Raw genomic sequence first — 19,901 nt, 5'->3', positions numbered from 1 at the left:
ACTGATTCCATAATGTGACTATTGGGAATAATGCCACGGTTAGCATGGGAGTATAGCTATCTCTTAGGCATTCTCATTTCATTTCCTGTCCTTTAAATATATAGCCAGTAGTGAGATTGCAGGATTGTATATTAGTTCTATTTTTAGTTTTTTGAGAAATCTTCATACTTTTTACCCATACTCTTTTCACTAATTTACACTGCCATCAAAAGTGTACAAGGGTTCCATTTTTTCCATGTTGTCACCAGTGCTCATCTTTGTTTTTTTTTTGTTTTTTTTTTTGTATAATAGGCATCCTAACAGTTGTGAGGTTATATCTTACTGAAGTTTTAATTTGCATTTTCCTGATGATTAATGATGTTGCACTTTTTTTCATATATCTATGGCCATTATGTTTTGTTTTGTTTTGTTTTTTGAGACAGGGTCTCACTCTGTCACCTGGGCTGGGGTGCAGTGGCACGATCTTAGCTCATTGCAACCTCCTCCTGGGCTCAAGCCATCCTTCCACCTCAGCCTCCCAACTAACTGGGACCACACAAACCCACCAACATGTCAGGCTAATTTTTTTGTATTTTGGGTGGAGATGGGGTTTCACCAAGTTGCCTAGGCTGGTCTTGAATTTCTGGGCTCAAGTGATCTGCCTGCCTCAGCATCCCAAAATGCAGAGATTACAGGTGTGAGCCACTGCGCCCGGCTGGTCATTATGTTTTTAATAACTGGGTTATAAATAATCAGGTTTTCTATAGATCCTCTCACTGTCTTTCATCTCATACCACATCTTTTCACCCACGGGTAGCTGGTTTACTACCTATGCACTATACTCATTTGATTTTGTCAAATGACTGCTACTTAAAGATCAACTTGTTCTCCTCCAAAGGGCAAATTGTGCTGCAGTATGTTTCATTCAGTGAGGTCATATTTTTGTTAATATAAAACATTCACAATAAGGCTAGTCATTGTTAACCATCTATTATGTCAGTAATTAAAAACAGAAATCATTTACTTTTTCCCGGATCAAGATAGCAGAGCACTGAAGAGGGACACCCATTAGTTTGTGTGGATTCCAGGTCACAGACTTGGCCATAGGTGATAAAACAGCTCTGGTTAGCACTCACAGTCACTGGAAAAGGAGTCTAAATGGGTTCTTCTGCTTTCACAAGCAATGCCCCAGGTCTTACCTTTCAATACCACTGAGTTTATAGGAATAGTTTCTGGATAGCAGCAGTCCACCTCCCCAAGCTGCCTACAACAAATACAAAGAACATGTGGTCTTATACTAATTACTTATTTTTTAATTACACTGACTACTTTTCCTATGTTAAATTTATTTTAAAACATGATGAAGATTTAATTATTATGCTAGATAATTATCGAGCTGGCTATAATTATTCTACTTAAAAAAAAACAATGCATTAAAAAAATTTCCTACCATGAATTTTCATTGTCTGTTCATGACACGGTGAAGTCTTAAGTTCCTAATAAATTCAAGAAGGCACTTTCTGTATAATTTCCAAAGACAGATTTTAAAAGTTGGCATCAAATTAGGCTATACTACAGAAAAATTAAAATCTCCATTGTATGCTACAACTTTAATTTTATTCAACTCTAATCAAAGTCAAAGAAATTTTTCTTAAAAGTTATTGTACTAAATTAATAGCATCGAAAAGTTATTATTTCTTTGATATTAATAAAGAAATGTATATTAGAGTAATGGGCTAAGTCTTATTTCAATTTCAAATCATGTTTGACTTTAACATTGATATTCTAAATTTGGGGTTGAATATTAATAGAGATTTAGGCTTTTAAATATAATTTGGTGTATTTTTAGCCCTTTTCATGATGTATTAAGTCTATTTAAAAATAAACTTAGGTAGGCAGGTGCGGTGACTCATGCTTATAATCCCAACTCTTTGGGAGGCTGAGGTGGGCAGATCACTTGAGGTCAGGAGTTCAAGACCAGCCTGGCCAACACGGTAAAACACTGTCTCTACTAAAAATACAAAAAAAAAAAAAAAAAAAAGCCAGGTGTGGGCCGGGCATGGTGGCTCATGCTTGCAAGCCCAGATACTCAGGAGGCTGAGGCACGAGAATGGCTTAAACCGGAAGGCAGAGGTTGCAGTGAGCTGAGATCGTGCCACTACACTCCAGTCTGGGTGATAGGGTGAGTCTCTGTCAAAAAAAAAAAAAAAAGAAAGAAAAGAAAAAAAAGATGTAAATAAGATTATTCTTTATCTGTATTTTCTGTATTTATTCATTATAAAATCTAGGTACAGAGAAATTTTTGACTTGCCTGAAATGCCTGTTAGGAATCTTTAAGGATTGTAGGATTTTTTTTTAAAAAAGAGGTATTATAAGCCAGACTAAAGGAGATGACTTACATCCACATGCATCCAGAGTTTGTGCTTCTCACAAATATCAGCGATGTCAGGGAGAGGGTCGAAGGCTCCGTACACTGTGCTTCCGGCTGTGGCACAGACACAGAATGGAGTTTGGCCCTGGTGATGAAAAAGCGGAATCATTCTTACAATCTCATGAAGTCCACAGGAACTATATACAACACTGGTACCCATTACACTTCTGGATATCAGAAATCTGGATAACTTTGATTAGGGATATTGAATAGCTAATGATTTCAAATATTCTGAGGTACATAATCACTAGAGATAGTAACATAACTGTAAGGTGGATTTATACCTTTCCCTTTCAATTTTATCTATTGTTATTTCTGTTTAAACTTATTTTAAAGAAAGTAATACCACAAACATAGAAATGGCCAAATTCCATTATACAGGAAAGACCCTGATAAATTTGCCTTTCATATGTAACAGAACCAATAATATTAGAAATACTGCAATGCTACTTAATTACACCACTTCAGTTTTATAAGAAATTTCCCACATTTTGTGTTTATTCTATTTTTTCAGCAATTTTCTTATCAATTATTTTTCACTAATAAACATACGTAAAGTATATAAAGATATTTACATGTTAAATATAGAACCGTAGAACATACCTTTTTTTTTAGCTTGTAATATATTTTTCTCTAACTCAGCTGGAATCATCTTTCCCCTCAAAAATGCAAATACACATTGATTTATTATAAGTATATAAACATACAAATTCTACCAATTGGAATAAGAAGTGTTGTGCAAGATTTTAAAACAATTAGTTTTTAGTGTCTCCTAAAGACATTTATAAGTGTATGAATAAGTAATAAATGTTCAATTAATTTAAGCCACGTTTAAGTTAGAGAGTGCTTCATCTACTATTCGGTCACCTTAAAATCTGCACACTTACTAATCAGAAGATTCTGATCATTGTAAGGAAGATACAAAATAATAAACTCTCTTTCGATCATGCTTTTTTTTTTCCTTCCTTATTTTCTTATTTAAAGTAATTAAACTTTATTTATTTGTTTATTTATTTATTTAGAGACAGAGTCTCGCCCCGTCGCCCAGGCTGGAGTGCAGTGGCACGATCTCGGCTCCCTGCAAGCTCCGCCTCCCGGGTTCATGCCATTCTCCTGTCACAGCCTTCGGAGTAGCTGGGACTACAGGCGCCCGCCACCACGCCCGGCTAATTTTTGGTATTTTTAGTAGAGACAGGGTTTCATCATGTTAGCCAGGATGGTCTCGATCTCCTGACCTCATGATCCATTCTCCTTGGCCTCCCAAAGTGCTGGGATTACAGGCGTGAGCAACCGCGCCTGGCCCTTAAAACTTTAGTTATTAAGACCTCTTGATATCAAGATTAAAAATATCAGGCGTTCAAATTTGAGGGGGGATGTGGGTGGCATAATTAAGGTGGCCTCACATTTCTTCACAGCATGTTTCCATGAAATAAATTAAAGCCAATATTTTTCTACTCCGTTCAGCTATGAGACTAACTGCCCAGCAGCCTTAGAGGTAACTCATTGGCAACATTTTAATTAAAGTCAGTACCAAGATAATAATGCTCACTATCTTCAATATTCTATTTTCTTTTGAAAAAAAAGAGACAGATAATAAAATAAGAAACCTAATTGGAATACATATCTTTGTATACCTAGAATACCTAAAGTTGTTTATAAAAATGAGAATGTTGAGCAAGTTACATAAGTAAATTATGGCTTAATTTCTTAATACCAATTATTGAAAATAAATAGTAGAAAAATCCTATTAATAATAGTAGAAATGATGTAAAATATCTTTAGAGTGGTAATTCTCAGGAAACGTGTAGGGACAAACAACCTGTGATAAAGCTTACTGGATAATAAACTTATAAAACATATTTGCAAGATATTTTATATTTATATATTTCAGAATTTCATAATATATAAATGTTTCTTATAAGGCAATAAGAAGTAATAAACTACCACTTAAAAAATAGGCAAAGGACATGTACAGTCAATTCACAGTAATATACAATTGGCAGGTCAGCATATTAAAAGATTTCTATTGTTCTGAACAACAATAAACATCATTTCTGTCAGATTTTCTAAGTATAAAAATATTGATAATATTTTAATGTTACATTTCAGTAAGAATATAATTAACTAAAAATGTTTAAAGGGCAAATGGAAAATTTGTATTGAGTTATAAATTCACACATAATTTGAACCTAGAGGCATTCATATGAGAGATATTCAAGGCAACTCAAATGTGTTTATTAAACTCAAATACGTTTATTACATTCACTTAAGCACTGCTCTTAAGTACTAAAATCAAAGGGAAAACTTATAAATGTCTTTTTAAATAGGACTTGTAAAACTTTGCTGCATTTATAAAATTGGAAACTGATGTAACTTAAAAAAAAAAGTCTGTGTGAATTCACAAGATTTCGAAGCTATACCATAAAGCCAAAGGAAATAAAGCAAATTACAGAACATAACACAGAATTGATGTATGAATAAGTTTTATATTAATAAAAATTATATCCAGAATATGTATAAAGTTTATAATATTGCTTATTTCTGAAGAATGGGATCCAAAGAAAATATAAAGATATTTTCACCTTGTACTCTAACATGGTTGAATTTTTAATTTCCAAACATCACTATGTTGATAATTTAATGTATTTCATAAATATAAAATAGGGAACAAATATATGGCAATAGAATTTTCATAAGGCCATAGTTAGTAAATAAATGTCAACAATAGGGTAAATAATTTTGGTGCTTCTTTCATAATGACTTACCTTTAAAATATAAATAAAATGAATCTGGGAGAGGATTCTTGCCAAAAAATGGAACCACAGGCAAATGAAATCTCAATCTATGAAGCAGAGTAATAATAAAACTTTGAGAATGTATTAAGAAACATACCTTTCATCACACTTTACTTCAATTACATTATCAATTCCAATACCCAAAATTGTTGCAGCTATTTTTATTGAGTAATGACCCTTGGGCAAAAATAAGAAAAGAAAAGACATTACTTCTCCTACATGAAATCCCCATTTACACACAAGTGCACTTGGGGCATATATGCATAGCTTTGAATGGGTCTGTGGATATATATGCACACAGGTATCAAGGCATATTTCCAGGCCCCCATCTTGACATTTGTTTGGATCTAGAATGTTGTAGCACCTCTTTCCAGAAGGCACTGTCACAGAATAGAACTCTTTACAAGCTTGGGTGGGAGCTTGAATATTTTAGTTCCCTGCATACACATGAAGCCACATCATTTATAAAGTTAGTGACAGTTTCCTCCAGGAAAATCTTTTTCTGCTCTGGACAGCTCTAGCTCCTGTATTTCAGATTTTTTTTTTTTTTTTTTTTTTTTTAAAGACAGATTCTCGGTCTGTTGCCTAGGGTGGAGTGCAGTGGCATGATCTAGGGTCACTGCAACCTCTGCCTCCCGGGTTCAAGCAATTCTCCTGCCTCAGCCTCCGGAGTAGCTGGGACTACAAGCACACGATGACACGACCGGCTAATTTTTTGTGTTTTAGTAGGAATGGGGTTTCACCGTGTTGCTCAGGCTGGTTTGGAACTCCTGAGCTCAGGCAATCCACCAGCTTCGGCCTTCCAAAATGCGAGGATTACAGGTGTGAGCCACCATGCCCAGCCCATTTGAGATTTTTTTTTTTTTTTAAGGCATGAGGTCTTATGAATGTACTGAATATTACAGTGCCTGTAATTCTTAATTCAGACTTTGACACCCACTTTGATCTCTTGCCTGCTAGTTTACTTTGTCCAGCAAGACAGAGGTGATAGCAGCTCTAAAGATAAACTTGGCCCGGATTATTTTTAATCGCTAGGAAAAGACCAGATATATGAGATTAAAAAATACAGAAATTAAAACCTTAACCATATTTCTATTTCAATAAAGAATACAGAGATTAAATAAAAAACTGATTTCTTAAAGATCAACATATGGAATTTCAGCTTATTTACTCGTTATAAATATTTTCAAATTATATTTCAAATAACGAAAATTGCATTTGTAAACAAGCATGTTAAGTTCTATAAAATTCTGTAATACATTGCATTGAATATAAAGTAGTAGTTTCCAACTTGATAATATATAGTAAGTACTTACTTAATGTAGCCATAGGTTCTTGGAAATTGACTTTAGCTGAAAAGATGTCTAACGAAACCAATATTTTTTTCTCTTTGACATTATAATAAAGCAACTGATGTAATTCAAGAATCTATTGTATATTGCTTCTCTTAAAGTCACAGTTTCTAAGAACCTATGACGTTAAGTGAGGACTTACTATATAGATGTGTAATGCCAATTTGAGTTTGGCAAAGGGAGTGCACTGCAAAAACAGGAATATTTCAATAAAAACTCTTCGTTTCTAGGTACTTTTAGGTAGAACTCTCAAACTTGGACTGCTACTACATTTTAAGATCATACATGTTGCCATGATAGATAAGAAGAAAGCAATCGGATTACAGGTTTAAAAAGTTTTGATGCTATGCACGAGAGTGGAATACTAAACGTAAAGGAGATATCAGTGGAGATATTGTCAGTATCAGAAGAGTTTGGCTGAGGATCTAGTCTATAAAAAATATAGTTTTCTTTTAACTGATTCCTTTGGTCCTAACCGGAAAGATGAAACAGTAATTACATTCTTTTTCTTTTTATTCAATGTGAAAAATAACTATTAAATCTTTGAAATTTTTACAATAATTATTTTGGTAAAGTTAGCAGAATGTTTTATATTTATATAAAACATTTGTTTTCTGTTTGTCATGCTGAAATTAAATTTTAATCCTGAATTATTTGTATTGCTTACCTATAGAGCCTATATTTACTGGAAAGTTGTTTTTTTCCTTTTCAATATCAAAATGTAGATCCAGACTCAGAGATTACCTGAACATATTTGATATAAGCATAATGCCAATATTCTTAGTCTTTATTTTATCAGGTTATCTTTCATGATTCTTAAAAGTTGAAAAGAACCTATACTTGATACTTACTTGCTCAGAAACAAATAATACAATGCATGGAAGTGCAGTCATGCCTTTTGTTTTTATCTCTGGATATTGTTTATAGTGAGCTACTAAAATACCATAAAGGCTTGATATACTGCCACCTATGGAAGGGAAATAATGACCATTAAGCTAATTTCAATCCTGATAAATGTTTATTGAAATAATAACAATTTGACAGTTTCTGAAACTAATGAGGTGCTAAATCACTGTTATTTTAAAATTATCCTTCCATGAAATTGGTGAAAGGTCAAAGAATGAAATTCCCACTTTTAGATTTCTGGAAATTTTATTTGCGATGATAATGCAATGGCTTATGAATGTCTGTCAAAAATAACAATGTTAGTTGGAACACATTTTGAGTGTCTCCCGATAGGTATTTTATTTAGCTTACAGAAAGTTGCTTTTTCTTACCAGGTGAAAATATTCCATCTGCTTGTTTCTTCCCAGCCAATAATTTCATACATTTTCTTGAGAAGAATTGTCTCCATGACAGTAAAAACTGGGGCTATTTCATATGTAAACCTATAATACATATAGATAAATTCAGCTGTGACTTATATTACACGGAAGAGACAAAGTAAAGTCATGTGTTAACAAGATCATATACTTTTTAATTCTATATTAGACTATGCAAGAAATGGTTACCTTTTATATATTCTAAATTGCTTATTCCAGATTGAGTATATTAGTTCTACAAAGAAATCACCATGACTTCCATTGTTTTGGGCAATACCTGAAAATTTCTTTCCCACCTGGAGGAATTTTGAAAGCAACTCCCATCCCTTCAGAACACACAACATAGTTTAGGATCAGAAAATGCCCAGTTATTAAGAAAAAAAAACCCTATATATTCTTTAAGAGACAAGTTAAAAAGACATATATCTGGAGTTGCAGACGATGTTTTGCAGAACATTAAATGGGTAGAAAAGGCCTTTTCTAGAAATTGATTGATAAATATCCTTTGTATAAGGATTGTACTTTGAGGAAACACGCCAAAAAACAACTTAGAGTTATTATGTTTTCAATAATAACAGCTGTAAAGCAAGAAGATAGCACAAGACAAGAATAATGTGGGACCCAGGGAAAAGGATTCAGAGGTGACCATGATGGGAACTCTCCCTCTGTGTCACACTGTGCAATTAGAGTCAGCTCTTCAGAAAGCAAAATTTCTTCAGAAAGCAAAAGCTGGAATTCAAGGCTATAAGCTTTCCTTTGAGTAATAATATTACAATATTATTACTCAATACCACTGAGGTTCTAATTTATATTCATATATATGTGTGTGTGCTTTTTTTTTTGTTTTTGTTTGTTTGTTTGGTTGGTTGGTTTTGAGATGGAGCCTCCCTCTGTCTCCCAAGCTGGAGTGCAGTGGTGCAATCTCGGGTCACTGCAACCTCCGTCTCCCAGGTTCAAGCGATTCTTGTGCCTCAGCCTCCAGAGTAGCTGGAATTATAGGGGTACACCACCATACCCAGCTAATTTTTGTGTTTTTAATAGAGACGGGGTTTCACCATGTTGGCCAGGCTGGTCTCGAACTCCTGACCTCAAATGATCCACCGCCCTTGGCCTCTCAAAGTGCTAGGATTACAGGTGTGAGGCACCGTGCCTGGCCTCTATGTGTGTGTATTTTAAACTATGTACTGTGGGCTGTTTTGAATAGTGTTGAAATGATTCCACTCCTAGAACTTGACTCCCAGTCCACACCCTAACATCTGAGGCTAATCAAGCAAATTCAGGCCCTGAACATTGCCGGAGAATTTCGACAACCAGGTAAACTTCACACATGTCACACAGGAAACACATAGCAGCTTCTTTGCATTTCTCCCAAGTCTCAACTATTTTGTTTTTGACACAGCAAGCCTCATATCCAGCAAAATGGAACTTCCACTACCTAAATCTTCACTCTTGCTTACGTGTGTCTAATAATCTCACATTTCTTAGGTATAGAGGGATACTCACAGGTTGGTATTTGCAGTGGCTGTCAACCATTCCCCTGCAAGTCCAGTCATATCTAACCCACTGGACAGCTGGTTAAAATAGCGAGGATGTCCTGGAGACAAAAACAAAATTGCAATAGGCCAAAATAAAAACTAGAGTTAAAAAATACTGAAATTTGATAATAGTTTTTCACCTACCAAGTACTCATGTATTGAGCACATTTAAATTATGTTATTCAGTAAACATTATTGAGGCACTATCCTATACAGAGACATTCCTAAGTATTGACGATATGGTGGTAAACCAGATGGGCATAGTTGCTATCATGTGGATTTTACAGGCTGGTCGCAAAGAAAGACATTAAACAGATAATGACACAAATGTGTTTGATTACAATTGTAAAAAGTGCTACATAGGAAAACAGTGGGTGTGGTAAGTCCATTCTTAGGGGAGTGAAAGTAGCCAGGGGAGTGGGCCGAGGAAATCTCCAGAGAAGTCTTCTTGGAGGAAGTGATTTTTAAGGTAAGATCTAAATTTAAGCATTGCCAGACAAAAAGATTTGGAAAAGGAGCAAGCTGAAACAGATCTCAATATGCTCAAGGGTGAGAAAGTTCCTGCATCTAAGGAAGGAAGGTCAAGGATGGGGGTGTGTACAACTACTTCAATGGACCAGTTAGGCAAAGTGGGAAGAAGCCATCTAAAACATTAAATAATTTTCACTGAAAAGCTGTTTATATGTTTTGGGGGGCATAATATTAGATTCTTTTACAATGATTTTTGAAGATTTATATTAGTAAGTAATCTTTATTAGTTGTCAAATTGAACACTCTATACTTGATATAGTTTGGGTATTTGTGCCCTCCAGATTTCGTGTTGAAATGTGATCCCCAATGCTGGAGATGGGGTCTAATGGGAGCTGTTTGGGTCATAGGGGCAAATGCCTCATGAATGGCTTGGTGACATCTCTGCTGTAATGAATGAGTTCTGGTTCTATTAGTTACTGGGAGATCTGACTTTTAAAAAGGTTTGCACCTGCCCTCCTCATTCTCTTGCTCATTCTCTCACTATGTGGCACACTGGCTTCCCTTGGCCTTCTGCCATGAGTAAAAGCTCCCTGAAGCCCTCACTGGAAGCAGAGGCTGGCGTGTTTCTTGTACAGCCTGCAGAAATGTGAGCCAAATAAAACTCTTTTCTTTATAAGTAATTATTAGATGTAGGTATTCCTTTATAGCAAGACAAATGGACTCCCACAATATCCAACTTAGTTTAAAGTAATCTTCCCTGGGATCCTGGCTTATGCCTACAATCCCAGCACTTTGGAATATAATTTATAAATTTATTTTGTATAATAATTTATACAACATACAAAACAAATCATATTGTCTGGAAATACAGTATTGCCCTATCCAGGTTTAACTAAAGAGCCATTATTAAGCAAAAATAAAAATTAAAAATAACAGTAAGCTAAATAGGCTATTTTTATTTGCATTTCATGTCTACAAAATACTAATTACTATCATGGGCTATGCATCATTAAAATCTCAGTGATAACTAAACAATTAAAACAAACCTCAGTTTTTCCACAGGGCAGGGGGCCGAGGGGGGCAGATCTCTTGATCTCAGGAGTTTGAGACCAGCCTGTGCAACATAGTGAGACTCCTGTCTCTACAAATCATACAAAAATTAGCCGGGTGGGTGATGTGTGCCTATGCTCCCAGCTACTTGGGAGGCTGAGGTGGGAGGATCGCTTGAGTGTGGGAGGTCAAAGCTGCAGTGAGCCGTGATCACCCTACTGCACTCCAGCCTGGGTAACAAAGCAAGACCCTGTCTCAAATAAATAAGTAAATAAAAATTAATCTTCCCCTTCTTATCCCCTAAATAGATTATCTTTTGCACTTCTTTCATGACATATTTTACAGATGATTTGTGTCACAGCTCTTTGTGAGTCCCTCTCTTTTTTCCTCTAGTATGTTACATTATCCGTATTTCAACAGTGTCCTCTCCTAGAGCACCTGTGTGGGTTCTTAACAAACAGGAACTCAATACGTACTTACTAAGTTGGATGAAATGCAATGTCTGGAAGTTGTGAGCTGTGTTAGCAAAGTGTTCCTTTCTGTTATTTACTTATCATTTTCTTAGCATCTTTATTTTTTCTCTCTGCACTTCAGATGTACAGAAATGGAAATGGAAAAGTGGAGGGTGGGTCTACAGATTTACCCTACATTTGCAACGCTAAAGGAAAAAAAAGGAATTTAATTTATGTAAGTCAGAAATGCTTCCCAATTGCCCCACTATTTTTCAGAAATACCATTTGCTATTTTTATTTCTAAGATAAATTTATTTTAATTTCACATTTACTTTATACAGTTAAATTTGAGTCTACAACAGGGTTTTTTTTTCTAATCTTATAAAAGCTTTCTTTTTATTTTGTTTAAAAATGGTTTTCTAGTTATAAATATACATGTTTTAGAAATACATAAAATACAAACTATACATAGAGAATAGTGATTTTTATGCATATATAGGAGACAACCTGCCTACTTATCTATTCAACTACCTATTTATAATAAATACATTCTACAAATGATATTTACAAAGATATCCTAAAATGATACAGATAGTTTACAAATGTGTTTATTATAAATAGGTAGGTAGAGACACCTACATATTGTGTATGCATACACACATGGAATTAACAATATAATTAAATATAACTGAGATACTGAATATATTATTTTGTGGCATACCTTTTTATAATGATCAATATCCTATGAGAAATTCCCCATGACTTCTCTAAAACTTTAAACGGTAATATTGCATAGTATTTGTTTCAAAGGATATTCTCTGTTTATTTAAGATAAATTTAAAGACAAGCATCCTTTGTTTTCTGTTATTAAAATACAGGCAGCAATGAGCATTCTCAAATGTAAATCATCTTTGTGCATTAGCATGGCAGATCAGTTTGGTCTGAAAATAAAATATTAGTGATATTTAAAGTGCTGGGGTGTAAGAAATATGTCATAACAATGTCCGTATATTTGATATTTATCAAACGTAAAGTATCCATTCACAAGCGATTTCTAATTATTAAAATTATACATAAATATTTTTCAAGATAATGTAATAAAAAATTAATAAGCCCAAGTAGAGATAATGTATTTAGAGCCACTTTGTTGGTCCTTTTTTTCAAAGACTATGTTCATTCCAACACACTATTTAGTAGGTTTAAGATTTTAGAAAAAGGGTTCCATAGACCCTATTCAAACATCACTTGCCCCTGAAAGTATGATCACTTTAAATGGCTAAGAACCTAGTTACAGTAACCTGGTGTGGTGACTCACACTTGTAATCCCAGCACTTTGGGAGGCCGAGGAGGGTGGATCACCTGAGGTCAGGAGTTGGAGACTAGCCTGGCCGACACGGTGAAACTGTGTATCTACTAAAAATACAAAACATTAGCCTGGCATGGTGGTGGGTGCCTGTAATCCCAGCTACTTGGGAGGCTGAAGCAGGAGAATCGCTTGAACCTGGGAGGTGGAGGTTGCAGTGAGCCAAGATCGCGTCATTGCACTCCAGCCTGGGCAACAAGAGGGAAACTCAATCTCAAGAAAAAACAAAAAAAAAGAATCTAGTTACAGTAAAGCTAATTTAATCAAAAAACACAATTTCAGAAATATAAGATATGTATATGTGGTAATTTTGATGCTATGTATTTTACTGGTACAAAGGATAATTAATTTGGCATCAATATTGAATATTATAAAAATAAATGAAAACTGATAAAAATTATACATTTACTTGCCATTAAAATGTAATTTCCTGAATCAAAACCATTTTATTTACTTTCTTTTATTTTTAGAATTTTAATTTTAAAATAATTTTGTTAAACTGAAAACAATTTTTAGATGATAATCCAATTTGAAAAAAACAAAGCTAAATATTTTAAATAAGAATAAATAAAACTATGATCATTTTTCAATACAAATGTAAACTCAAAGCTATTCATCCAATTTACAGTTCAAAAACATCAATCTGAAAAATCACCTGTTTTAACACTGTATTTTAAGGTATCTGTGCAATCAGCAAGTAACTGTTCCAGAGATTCAGGGTGGTCAGGCAGTTCTAAGGTAAACCCAACCAAACCTTCAAGTAGTTGATGAGGATGATGGAAGTCCAATATTTCACTCTTACCATCAAAGGTGTTTTTGCATACTGTAGAAGAATATCTACCACTTGCAGCAGAAAATATTTTGTTAAGTCTTTGTCATCTTTGCATAGCAACAAATCTAGAGAAAAGAGATAAACTACAAAGTCAGTAGCTAAATGGCAAAGAAAATTTCCAAGAGATAGATAGAATTGTCATCATTGTCAACTAAAGATATTAAAGTGCCATGTCAAATAGCAAGTCAAGTAGCATTTTCCCAAATCTTATCAACCATCTTCATTCAATGTCCCATTGGACAACCTTTATTTTTCACCAAAAATTAACCATTTAAAATTAATGCCATTGGAGCAGGTGTCCCTTCAAGACCTCCTAGAGATGTATTTTATTTGATTGTACTGCCACAAAATGATCTGGTCATTCTACTTCTAAAAGTAAATTAAATGGTCAGATCTTAAAGAACATTGCTATAAAGACACATGCACACGTATGTTTATTGTGGCACTATTCACAATAGCAAAGACCTGGAACCAACCCAAATGTCCAACAATGATAGACTGGATTAAGAAAATGTGGCACATATACACCATGGAATACTATGCGGCCATAAAAAATGATGAGTTCATGTCCTTTGTAGGGACATGGATGAAGCTGGAAACCATCATTCTCAGCAAACTATCGCAAGGACAAAAAACCAAACACCGCATGTTCTCACTCATAGGTGGGAATTGAACAATGAGAACACATGGACACAGGAAGGGGAACATCACACACCGGGGACTGTTGTGGGGTTGGCGGGGGGGAAGGGATAGCATTAGGAGATATACCCAAAGCTAAATGACGAGTTTATGGGTGCAGCACACCAGCATGGCACATGTATACATATGGAACAAACCTGCACGTTGTGCACATGTACTCTAAAACTTAAAGTATAATAATAAAATTAAAAAAAAGAACATTGTAATTGCTTTGATAAACATGTAAAGCACATGAGATTTATGTATGAAAAATAACAAAGGGATACATTTGTTAATGACATTTGTACCTGAAGCATAAGCATTTGATAAATTAGTCATTACATTCCCAGTGTGAGCTTCTTTTTTCTCGTCTTTCTCAGTTGATTGAAAAGTACAGATAGACATTTTTCCCATCTGGTTCTTATCTAAGTTAAAAAGTTAATATTTTGGGCTTACTAAAATGTGTTGATAATATGTATTTCCTCCCTTATCTGTTATCAAATAGATGTTTCTAACAAATCCATAATAATTGCGACTCCTATTTCCTTTCTCATGTAATCTCTGGAAGATAGATATGAACTGGAGAGAAAATTCAATTTTATGAAAATAATACAAAGAACAAATGATACATTTATTGTTAGTTTTGTATCAGTTTAGAGCATATGATTAGGAATATAATAATGAAAAAATGTTATCCATAAATTACAATGCCTACTACAGAATGAGATTATTATATTAACACTTAGCTGCTTATGACAATATCTACTGTATCTTAAGTGGGCCCCAAGTGCCTTGCACACATTTTGATCCTCACAATAACCTTTAAAGGATTTTTTATGCAAATAACAAAATAGATGAAGAAGTTAGATAATAGGAACAACTTTTTGAGCACTTACTATGGCTCAGGCACGTTTCTAACCATTTCATATGTATTATTCAATCCTCATAACATACAGTTAGTTAGGATGTAGGCACTACTATTGTTAACAGGAATAGCAATAAATGGTAGATTTTGGATTTATAGGTAGATCAGATTAAATCCAAGGGCCACTGCAAATTAATAGTTTAAAATATTAAGTTCTAAAATTCTCTTTAATAAAAATATTGAGCCAAACCTCCACTCAAACACGTCATTCTTAAGTGTCTTTTAGTTTTCTGGGAAATGTAGTAGGGGAAAGGAAGTACAAACTATGGTTCCTGAAATCAAAGTAATTACCCATAGCTATATGTAGAAAATATAAGGTAGCTAGAAAATGATGTATGACTACATTTTGTACTTTTGATTATCATAAGCTTGTAGTATTGTTTCCAGGTTTAATGAGATTTTTCTTAAATAAAATGAACTATTTTCCTTTCCAAATATTGCATTTGTTAAGACTATAGCAAGATTAACTTGGTTTAATTTTTGAAACTGATACAATGTTTAAGCACCTTGAAATGTTTATTCATTCTAAATGAAATTTTTTATTATAGTATTTTAATAAAGAATACAAATCCAGTATATTAAGAAATTGTGCATAAATTGTACAGATTACAGTAACGAGATGATTTATGCATCATGAAATATATTTAAAAATAAATTTTCATATTACACATTGACCCTATTGACATATATTAGGTTAATTCTACGTATTTTTTTTCTAGAAGATACGGGTAGTTTTACATTTCCCTGCTATAAACAATAAAATAAATTCTGAAGTGACTAAGAGTGTCACTTCTTTTAAATAGTCAATGGAAACAAATTCACAAGTGAAATTTTTTTAAAAACCCTTTACATGAAGCAATATTGCAGAAAGTTTGTATATAAATTATGTAGAAGCCAACAAATTTTGTATATTGGCGTAAGAATTACACTCCACTAATAGCCCCACTACATATTGAATTTACAATATAAAACTATGTTAAACTTTATATTTAATAACAAAATAGTTAAGTGCACAAGTAATATGAAGATTGTTAATATACTTCTGTCAAAATATTTTAATAATAATTATATAAAATTAGAAAGACTGTCATTTTACAGTCTTCAGTTTTTAACAAGTTGCAAATATTACTCAAAGTTTTTATAAAAGTGTACTCTCTCACCTACTAGTAATTTCCATGTCTTCTTACAAAATTTCAACTTACTTGCCAGGCTATATCCACATTTCTTGAAATCTATGTGCAGTGAGAAAATTGCTGTCTGCTTTAAGAAAATATCTGGAGCCAGAGAATGTTTTCTTGCAATGAAAAATAACTCAACCATTGAAGATTTTTTACTGCTGTAATTTGTAATACAGACTCTTTTAAAGTCTTTTCCTTGAGGTCACAGGAATAATTCTATTATTTGTAAAATGGGTGAGGATTCAATGCTTTTATTTCATTAGAGAATTGACCAATGGTTGTAATGTATTTGTATTTAAACATTACTTGCTTTAGTGCTTTTTAAAAATATAATGTTAAAAAAAAAAGGAATGGGCTTCAACTTCCTTTAGACAATTACAACTTTTATCTGCAAGATTGTGTTAGTTATGTAACATTCTAGAGTAGAAATTTAAAAAAATGCATGGGACTATTAATAGCATGAGCCAAATCCTTGTAACACAAGAATTACTTTTTACTTTTGTATTAAAACTCTAATATTTAAAATAATCCATAATGATTATCCCTTTGAGCCCCATTACCAGGTGTCTATTTTTTCAAGAATTTATCAAGTATCAGCTTATCTCTGTTGAGTAATGTGCAGGTCAACATTATTTGTATTTATTAAATAAGTTTTACATATGTTCCTAAAGGAACATGAAAATATTGATAATTCACATAATAAAAACTTCTGAAAATATGTTAGTCTCTACCCTAGGCATTTAGGTACAATTTATAAGCAGATTAAGTAACTCTTAATTCACTCTAATAATGATAGAAAAACATTGTAAATTGTAAAAGTCTGTTGACAACTTTCAAACATGATTTGGGCCAGTTGTTACAACTTTTTTTTCTTTTTTATTAAGGAGTTCACTAGAGCCTCTAACAGAAAACAAACCCAAAAAACCCCACTGTATTTGATGATTTCAAAAACCACTTCCTCCTTTGCTTTCTTCCTGCTTTCTGTGGAGTTGATCCATGACTGTGGAAATGGATAGAACTAGGAAAACACGGAATAAAAGCTCCATGTCCACAACTATGTTCTCTTTTCTTCAATGACCTACTTCTTTGCTCTAATAGTGTCACCATGTCTCTTTTGAAGGATTATCCCATTATCTTCATTCAGAAAAGAGGAGCTCAGCCTCATGACTCCTGGACATCTACTCATCTCTGTTACTAAACCCACCCATGTTATTCTAGTGTATGTACTACCTGTGAGTTAACCCTCCACTCTCCTAGGCACTGATAGGATTCTATCCTGCAAGGTTTCCTCCTTCTCCCCTCTATTCTCATCCTTACCTGTTCCTTGCCCCCCAACATTATAACCACCAGCAACCTAGCTTCAAAATGACTCAAATAATCCCACTTCAAAGGAAATGGATTTTGAGCCATAAAGTCTCTTTAGCTATTATTCCACTTATTTCCCTTTATGTCCTAGCACTTGGCAATTAGACCTTTGTTTATAGACATGCTGAGCATGAAACTAACCCTCTCAAGGCTCAAAGGGAAAGTAGTTTTTTTTGGATTTTTACTTTAGCCTAATTTTACACATTTTTAGCACACATATAAATTGAAATTGAGACCACTCAAAAATTTTCTCTGCAAAGCACATAAGTGCTTTCTTACATTATGCTACATTAGATAGAACTAAAAAAAATAAAAGAGAGTAATACTTTTCTCTTAGGGTTGATAATAATAAAACCTATAGATTTCTTTTTGGTTGGTGTTTCTTCTTTTTCTTATGTATTTCTTTCATTGCCCCCTTTCTGTGTTTCATACAGTGTTAAAAATTCTCCATATGTTGAAATCTGAAAGAAGGTGTATGAATTAGGTATTACTATTGTCTCGTTCTGTATCATGTCTTCTTTTACCTCAGTTTCTCCATCAATACAATGGACATGGTAATAATATCTACTCATGGATATGTGCTATCAAAGGAGATAATAGCTCTAAAGTGTTTGTTACAATCTTTTCCGTATATTATCATCTTTTCTCTGGCAATACTGACAGACAAAACAAAAGCAAAATAAACAAACAAAAAACAGTTTTGATGATGCTACCATTCTGACCAAAAACTTTTAATAATTTCCCATCTACTATATTATAGTCTTTAAGTTGACCCTTTTCTTGCCCTACCTCCCACCACTCATCTACAGAATGTCTGTGTCTCAAAAGTAGGACCACCCACTCTCTTGCACACTGTACCTTTTCTTACTTCCCTTTATGATATTTTGTGTATTTTCTTCTACTTTAAATAACTTCCCTCTTTTTTCTAATCCAAAGCCCATATATAACATATATTTACTGAGAACTTATTATACACGAAGCACTCTTCTAAGCTAGATTCATATTTGCTCATTTAATTCTCCTCATAGTCTTGTAAGATTTACTGCCATTTCCTCTGTCCATTTTACAAATGACAAACTTAAGGCACAGGGAGATCTTATAGCTTGTCATGGATCACACAGCTAATAAGTGGCAAATCTATGATTCAATTCCAGATAGTCTGGTTCTAAAGTCTTCTCTTAACCACGAATCTGACTTCCGTCTTATAGGGTTCAAGTGATATCTTAGTAACTCCATAAATACTTCTTTATCTCTACCACTGAGATGAAGTGATATTTATTTTCTTCTGAATTATCACACCAAGTATCTGTCAATTTTTGTAGAGCTTACCTGCTAGTCTAATGAATTTATTAGACATTCTGCCTTGATGTTCAAAGGAGTTACAAAATGTTCATTCAGTATTGTCCTCAAGGAAGTACCATTTGGTAGAAAAGAGAGTAGTGAATAGAAAAAAATATTTTAATAATGTGAAAGGTGCTACATTTATAAGATTATAACCGTTGATTCTAGTAGAGACATGGGACAGGATGGTTAGGGAGGGTGTAAACGTGGTGTTCTAAAAGCATTTAGCAGAGGAGTTAAGGCAATCCGGAGGGCCATCTAAGGCTCTCTAAAGAGGTTGATATGACGTGGTAATTGGCATTTATCTAGAGGATGCGGAAAGAGAAACATGCTCAAGGAAAAATAAAAGAAATGCATAAGGTCTTGAGAGATCAACTGAACAAATAAGAGAAAGCTACAGTATATGGTACAGCCCAGAAAACCAAAAGGAAGAAATCATCCTACCGGGTGGGAAGGATACGTGAGTGTGTTTGGTATTCATCCTTTACAGCCCAGAAAACCAAAAGGAAGAAATCATCCTATGAGGTGGAAAAGATACGTGAGTGTGTTTGGTATTCATCCTTAGAGCAATAGAAAACCAGAGAAAGTTTGAGCTATGGAGGAATGACATGACTGTGGTTTTCTTATGGTTATGGAAACAATGGTAATGGGATGATAGTTGAAAGTATTAACTAAGTGTCTCAGTAAACCTTTGTGCAGGAATTCTGTGTTTACCTAAGAGATTCACAGAGACTAGAGATAGAGACACATGCTAGCTGGCAAAATTCCTTCAAGTGAATTCCAATTTAAGTGCATAAAATTATGATGGCACGATATAATGTAAACTTATAAA

Source organism: Homo sapiens, chromosome 18 (genome assembly GCF_000001405.40).
Source record: "Homo sapiens chromosome 18, GRCh38.p14 Primary Assembly".
NCBI classification, from domain to species: domain Eukaryota; kingdom Metazoa; phylum Chordata; class Mammalia; order Primates; family Hominidae; genus Homo; species Homo sapiens.
Note: the sequence above shows the minus strand (reverse complement) of the source record.